Source organism: Homo sapiens, chromosome 17 (genome assembly GCF_000001405.40).
Source record: "Homo sapiens chromosome 17, GRCh38.p14 Primary Assembly".
Classification (NCBI taxonomy): Eukaryota; Metazoa; Chordata; class Mammalia; order Primates; family Hominidae; genus Homo; species Homo sapiens.
The window spans coordinates 41176274-41184099 of NC_000017.11; the positions used below are offsets into that span (position 1 = coordinate 41176274).

At 41.3% G+C, this 7826-nt stretch overlaps 1 protein-coding gene across 1 annotated transcript; it reads right to left on the reverse strand.

Annotated features, from left to right (window-relative positions):
* Positions 1 to 1172: 1172 nt before the first annotated feature.
* Positions 1173 to 1948, reverse strand: KRTAP4-2 (keratin associated protein 4-2). The gene has a single exon (NM_033062.4). The coding sequence runs from the start codon at positions 1889 to 1891 to the stop codon at positions 1481 to 1483; it is 411 nt and encodes a 136-aa protein (NP_149051.2). The 5' UTR covers positions 1892 to 1948; the 3' UTR covers positions 1173 to 1480.
* Between the last annotated feature and the right edge of the window lie 5878 nt (positions 1949 to 7826).

Sequence of the window (7826 nt, forward strand, 5' to 3'; positions counted from 1 at the left end):
CCATAGCTAGTGGTAACTGATGTAGGATTGTAAAGTTCCAACGACCTTACCTCTCAGAAAGATGGGTCTGTAATACCATTCACACTCTAGAGCTTCCTGTGGGGTCAAATGACAATAAAATCCTTTTGGGCTTAGCCTCTTCTACAATCCTATTCTGTTTCCGACATTTCCTTACTGATTTCTCCTGAGAGCATTTTCTTATAAAAGTCACTTGTGCAAACATCCTGTTTTAGATCTTTCTTTGGTGCCTCCAACTTAGCAGCATGGCTCAGGGTGAAACCTTTTTCAATATAGCCTTTTTTAGGATGAGAATCACCAACACGGTGGTTGTGTCCTATCCCTCAGATAAAACGATGTGAAGAAAAAAACAATCAAAGACAACTAGTTTAAAAGCAAACATGCATATTGAAATAAAAACTTTAAAAATTAAAATTCTTAAAAGAAGACCAAAAAAGTAAATGAACAAATAATAGAAAAAAATTGTAATGCGCAAAAATTGAAAAGAAAAAAAACAGCAAAATGTTCAGAGGTGTCCATTCAGGTGACAGTAAACTCAAGAGTTGATCAAAATCTATGGTAACCATTCATATTGTACAAAAACATTTTGAAGGACACTAATACTGAGATTAGGAATGCTGCTGTTTTAGATTGTGTGCTCTCTGGGGCAAACCCACAAAAGAGGATCTGAGAACATGTGGTATATTTGGACGATTAACCCAAGAAACACTGGAGGAAACTTGAAGAATGACCCTGGGAAGGAGGGAAAGTCATTATAGAGTGAGTTCATGATCAGAATGTTCCTGCAGGCATCTGGTATAAATCCCGCTGAAGACCTCTGGAAGACTGGTTTGACATACCCCCCACTGGAGGGAAACAAGCCAGGGCATATATTACCAACTCCCACTCATTCTCTGAGTGCTGTTCCTAGAGGCTTTAAGTCTCCAGCCCAGAGTTTGCTCCTTTATCCAGAGAAAGTCCTCAGGTAGAGAGTTCCAGGTGCCTGCTCTAAGGAACCATTTTCCTATGTTTGAATGGAGAGTGCTGATAGGATAGAGGTGGAGCCCCTGATATCATCTGCTGTGGTCTTCTCCCTCTGCAGGGAAGAACATCAGAAAATTTGACAGGTAAGGATGAGAATTCAAGAAGGAAAAATGAGACACAATGCCCGTATATTATTTGTATGCCTCAAAAATTAAAATTTATTTAAGATAGAGGAATAGCTCCATGTGATAAATTATGGTAGAGAGCAAATATTTCAATTCAGGGAACATGGGGTTGACATATTTCAGAGAAAATTCAAACTTGTATTCATTTGGTAGAGGGTAGCAACATAGTGTTTGGTGAGCATATTTGGAGGCCAAACTCAATCCAAGAATTGGTTGGAACTGAGGTTGTCCAATTGGCCTTGCATGATTCAGTTCACAGGTGGATCATATCAAGAATGCTGGTTAATAAAGGCAGGTGAGTATAGGTGAGGGCATCAGCAGCAAGAGCCACTAGAGCAGGTTGGGCGGCAGCAGGTGGACACACAGCAGCTGGGGCGGTAGCAGGTGGTCCTGCAGCAGGTGGTCTGGCCACAGCTGGGGCGGCAGCAGGTGGGCTGGCAGTACACAGACTGGCAGCACTGGGGTCTGAAGCAGCTGGACACACAGCAGCTGGGACGGCAGCAGGTGGTCCTGCAGCAAGTGGTCTGGCAGCAGCTGGGGCTGCAGCAGGTGGGCTGGCAGCACACAGACTGGCAGCACTGCGGTCTGCAGCAGCTGGACACACAGCAGCTGGGGCGGCAGCAGGTGGTCCTGCAGCAGGTGGTCTGGCAGCAGCTGGGACGGCAGCAGTTCTCTAGGCCACAGCCCTGGTCAGAGCACACAGAGCCACAACAGGAGTTGACCATGGTGTCAGAGGGTGGAGGTTCTGGGTGGATTTCCAGGAAGGTGGGTTTGGAAGGTTTGGAAGTTTCCTTGCCCCAGATCCTCTTTTATACCCTGCTAAGGCCTGATGTCATCAGATGCAACACTCTTTCCTTGTTATTATTTGTCCTGATATGTAGGCAATTATCAAATTAGGCAAGTTTGTTGTTCTGGTTAACTTATCCACATAGATGGAAACACTGTCTCCTTTCCCTAATGTGTTAGGACTCCTTAGCTCAGCTCTTCCTGAACCACCTCCTGTGTCTCTCTTACTATAGCTTCCTCCTAGAGCAGCCATGTGACATCTGCCTGTAAGCACATACTATGTGCTTCAGTCTCATTTGCTTAACACATCATGACTACTCTTGGGTGATTACTATTCTTACAGGCCCTTGACTCTTTCTGGTGACTCAGGAGGATAAAGCTGCATTTCAGTCTGATGGCTCCTTCATTATGGGTCAGATGGCCTGTGAAGGTTTCAGTGTGAAACAGATTTCAGTGTGAAACAGATGACCACTGGTGTGAGAACGAGAACACCGTAGGACCTATCGCTTTTTTATCTTCCGCACTCTGAATTGTGACCCATTTTCTAGACCTTCTGATGAGAAATACAGAGCTGTTTTAAGGTGGAAAACTAAGCTGTGAAAGTTTGATGTTTCCTTTTCTACAGAAACAACCCTCCAAAATTCAGATTCAGGGCCTCTTGGGGAATGTTGGCTTCAGAGAACAGCTATACTTAAAGGTCCAAGTCCCTCATTTTTTTGCTCCCTGGGGCAGATTTTCCTTGTGACTTTGCCTTTCTGCCTTCCTAGCTCTAACAGGGCACATGAGCTCATCTCTCCAGGTTCCAAAATTTTCTGGCCAACCCAAATTAGATGACTCAGTATCCTTTGCTTGCTCTAATTCGCTCCCAGCCCTCTTGCTTTCTCTGCTGAATTGCTGGGCCTTGAAGATGTCCTATACTCTGCTGCTTCCTTATAGAAGTTGTTGATCCAATTTCACACTTTACATCTTTGTTTTCAAAAAATAAATCAATAAAGAGAGAAAGAAAGCAGAAAACAGGTATCAAGAACAAAGGATATCAGCCTATATTTTTTCATGTAGGGATGGCTGACTATTGTTTCAAAAATGTGCTATGTTGTCAATTCATTAACTCATCAGTTAATAAATATATATGTATTTCCCCACCCCTGAGGAGTCAAGGAACCCAGGGAAGGGGGTGGAAAAATGTCTGACTTACCATGATAGAAATGTTTTATGAACTGGGCAGCCTCTGCAGATAATCAGGGGAGGAGTTTCAGTGTAAGCTGGTGTTTCTGAGGGAGATCCAAGAACCAGATGGAGGGGATTGGATGAATGAGGGAGATTCCCTTTCTTCTCTCAGGTGCTTATAAGTCTAATAAATCAAATTGTGGTGTTCTTATGATGCTGCTATGTTCCAAGCCAGTTCCTACTCCTGCCCTGGCCCTAATTTCCAGGTGATTCAAGCAGAATGAAAACAACTTGGGCTCCCAAGTGAACCCCTGCTTGGTGCGCTGGCTGGTGTTCTGAGCCTGCACTGTTCTCTGGCTCTGATGTACCCAGACATCATATTTTATTGAGGGATGAAAGTGGGTTCCATGATGCTGTGGAATTAAGACCCTGTGAGCCCCATGGTGGTGTACGAGAACAACTCTAAGATTTCCAGGAGACCTTGTATTCTGGAAAAGAATCGTGCCCTTGAGAAGCCGTGACGATTGGTGCCTGCTGATGATTCAGTAGAGATCACTTTATATTAACTATTTTTCTTCATGATGTGAGTGTGTGTGAGTGTGTGTGTGTGTGTGTGTGTTTTCCTTAAGATAAATTTACATTATATTTAGGAATCTCTCACGATTTCTTCTAGTACTTTAACAATTTCATTTTTTCTACCTCTACTCAGCTATAATTGAAATATAAAATTGTATGTATATAAGGTGTACACCCTGATGCTCTGATATGTATATATTGTGAAATTATTGTCATGATCAAATTAGTTCACCTCCACCACTTCACATAGTTACCATTTTTTGAGTGTGTGTAGTGAGAACATTTTAGATCTAGTCTTTCAGCAAATTTTAAATATACAATACAGTGTAATTAACTACAGTGACCATGCTGTACATTAGATCCTCAGAACCTATTCTTCTTATAAATGAATATTTTCTCCCTTTGACCAACATTTCCTCATTTCCTCCATCCACAACCTTTGACAATCACCATTCTACCCTCTGTTTCTATGAGTTTTTAGATTCCACATGTAAATGAGATTATTTGTCTTTCATTGTCTGACCTACTTCACTTAGCATAATGTCCTCAAAGTCCATCCATGTTGTCCCAAATGACAGGATTTTCTTCATTTCATGGCTAATAACATTTCAGTGTGTGTGTGTGTGTGTGTGTAAAATCCTTGCAATCTTACATTGGTGTTTGTGCCTTTGAGGACACAGTCTCCTCTTCCACACTTTACAAGTTCCCTTCAGCAGGGAAAGACTCTCAGCAGTCAACTCGGCCTGGGATTCTGGACGGGGAAGCTGGTAGCATTTGTGAACAGGCAGGGCTTACTCTTGGGGGTCTCTGGGTGGGTAAAACTCCTGCCCAGGCCCTGAGGTTCAGTGGGGCTGCTGCCTGGGCTTTTGTGCAGCTGTGGCTACTGGCTGGGATCCACGGTTAGGTGTGGCCACTGAACGGTTTCATTTTTATGTTGAATATTTTATCTGGATGAAATTTGTTTTGATTTAACAAATGAAAATCTCTCCTTTTTTTCTTCATTCTGTACATCTTTCATTAATCCCTTTTATTCTTTCTTGCTTTTTTCCCTTTCCTTCGTTTATTCCTGAATTTGGCTACCTGTTTTATAGTATATTTGAAGTAATCCTTTCCATACTGCTTTTAAGACACCAGCTTTAGGATATAATTAATTTGTATAGACTTTTTTTTTTTGAGATGGAGTCTCGCTCTTTCGCCCAGGCCAGAGTGCAGTGGCGCTATCTTGGCTCACTGCAAGCTCTGCCTCCCCAGTTCACGCCATTCTCCTGCCTCAGCCTCCTGAGTAGCTGGGACTACAGGTGCCCGCCACCATGCCTGGCTAATTTTTTGTATTTTTAGTAGAGATAGTGTTTCACCGTGTTAGCCAGGATGGTCTCGATCTCCTGACCTCGTGATCCACCTGCCTCTGCCTCCCAAAATGCTGGGATTACAGGAGTGAGCCATGTATAGACTTTTAAGTCAATTTCTGGGCTCTACTCAATGGCAAACTTCACTGTTTGAAAATCTCTGGGTTAGATATCTCTAACGTGACTTCCAGTTTACAAACCTATACATTTATGACTTTTTTTTGATTCCCTTTTACTTGATGACTCATTGTTATCCTTTATCCCTCCCATCCATGTTCATGCTTATCTTTTAAAATTTGTAATTGTCCTCAGGTTCAGTCATGTAAAATCCCATTTTTAAGAGTATGGATCCTATAAGATATAGTAATTTTCCCTACATGCTCCTCCTAGGAGAGAAGCAATTCAAAATAAAATACCCAGCCACAAATACCCGAAAGACATTTCTGTCTAACCTAAATTATGACTTAAAACAGTGATATAAACTCTTCAAAAATTATTTTTCCCAACAACCATATTACTAGGTTAGTGCTGAATGCACCAAAGTCCTCCAAATATTAGCCATAATTAGATAGGCCACAGGAATAAATACAACCTGCATTTTTATACTTCTGGCAACACATCTTGCCTGTTTTGTGCCTATGTTCATTTCAAAATTTAACTGAGACATAAGCTAATGTTTACCCAGAAAAGTGTATTTAGATTCTCATAAGAATAGAGCGATACCCTTACAAGAAAGAATAAAATATTAGAACTCTTTCATCCAGAAAGAAAATAGAAGGTTGGTTAAGAAACTCTTAAAAGCCTTGGCCGGGCATGGTGGCTCATGCCTGTAATCCCAGCACTTTGGGAGCCCGAGGCAGGTGGATCATGAGGTCAGGAGATCGAGACCATCCTGGCTAACACGGTGAAACCCTGTCTCTACTAAAAATACAAAAATTTAGCCGGGCACGGTGGTGGGTGCCTGTAGTCCCAGCTACTCAGGAGGCTGAGGCAGGAGAATGGCGTGAACCCGGGAGGCAGAGATTTCAGTGAGCCAAGATCGCGCCACTGCACTCCAGCCTGGGCGACACAGTGAGACTCCATCTCAAAAAAAAAAAAAAAAGAATGTGACTTTCTTTATGACACTAATGTTATATTGCTCTACTGATATGATAATGTACTTTAATTTTTGCCATTTTCTTCTTCGTCCTTGTCTAAATTTTGCTTCTAACTAAAGTCCTTAACTCTTGGGCCTATTGATATTATTTGGTTATGGAATGGAAATTATCTCAAAGACATGAGAAACTGTGATAAGTTTGAACTTCCAAAAGGGAAAGTAGTTGCTAAAGAGCAGAGGAAACAACCAGATGGCTGCCTTGGAGCTAGGCTGCCTTGGGTAAAACATTCACTTGTCATGGGGAGATGAGAGGCTGCTGTAAACATGGTGACACACGCTATAAAGACAAAACAGATAACATTTCTTGACAATTTGCTTTGCCTATCCCAGACAAGTGTGGACAGTAATTGGTATTTAGGTATAAATTATACCAATGAAAATGAGAAATCTACCAGTATTTCTCGCTTTACCTTCCTGCTGTCTACCCATCAGCTGAGTGGCACCCCCATCATTTGCAATGACCTTCCACTGCATCTGTGCTTCACCTTGACAGCCTTGGCATTACTGCTTACTGCACTCCTGCCCATATTTTCTGATCCTTCATGATTATTATCATTATTGAAAAGAATATTATTTCCCCATTTTAGAACATCTATAATTTTTTTGGTCCTTTCCTGAGGATAATTTTTATTCTATTAAATCCTGTATTTTGCTCAAGTATATTTTTTTTTCATGTGGAAGTGACATCAGGCAGAATAAGCAAAGCCATGTGGCTACAGGAGACATATGGTTTGCTTGTCTGAATATGACCAAGTTTACCTGAGATACAAGAAAGCTGTAGAGTCTAAGCATATCCCGAGAGTGCATTCTTAGCTCACAGCTTAAAATTACAGCCTGAGTCCTTCTCTTTTACAACTCTATCATTGCCTACCATTCAAACCCTTACCCAACTCCTCCCTGACTCTTCCCCAAAGAGGATATTCCCTTGTCCTTGTGTGGCTCCATCTTTGACTAAGAGCTTTCTCATTTGCCTATGACTTTTAGTATAGTACCATTAACATAGAGGTGATGGGATGAGGCCAGTGAGGTTTAACTTCCACCAAATTTGGTCAACACCAACTGTTTCTTAGCTCATCTCAGTCTTGTCCTCATAAGAATGTAAACATTTTCCTATATTTTCCTCCTCTTCATTTCATGGGTCTGTGACCTGCACATCTTCCCTGTACCAACTTAACTCATTCTATTATTAAATGTGTGTATATGTATATTCCTAATGTCTTACTCTTCCCCAAGACAGAAAGTTCTCCTCTGATCAGTACTACCCAGCACAATCTATCTACTTTGCTCTTTCCTCTTATTTCCAAGATTAGACGGTGAGCTCCTTTTAGGAAGCTCCTGTGCCTCACATATCTTGATGTGATCTCCAGAGCCCAACAGTGCAATGAACATGACAGATGATCAATAATTTCATTGACTGAATAAGAAACTTTTGTTAGTTAAATACAGCGAGTTATCTTATTTTGAAAAATTTATGAAGTCCTTTCTATAATATAAGCATTACATTATATTTACAAAATCAGTTTTCTTTCCTGGTCGTGGTAACCCAAATTTGTCTTTATCTTGAGAGAAGTAATGCTAAAAAATAAACTGACAACTAATTCTCAAAAAAATTGAAAAAAGAGAAAAGAA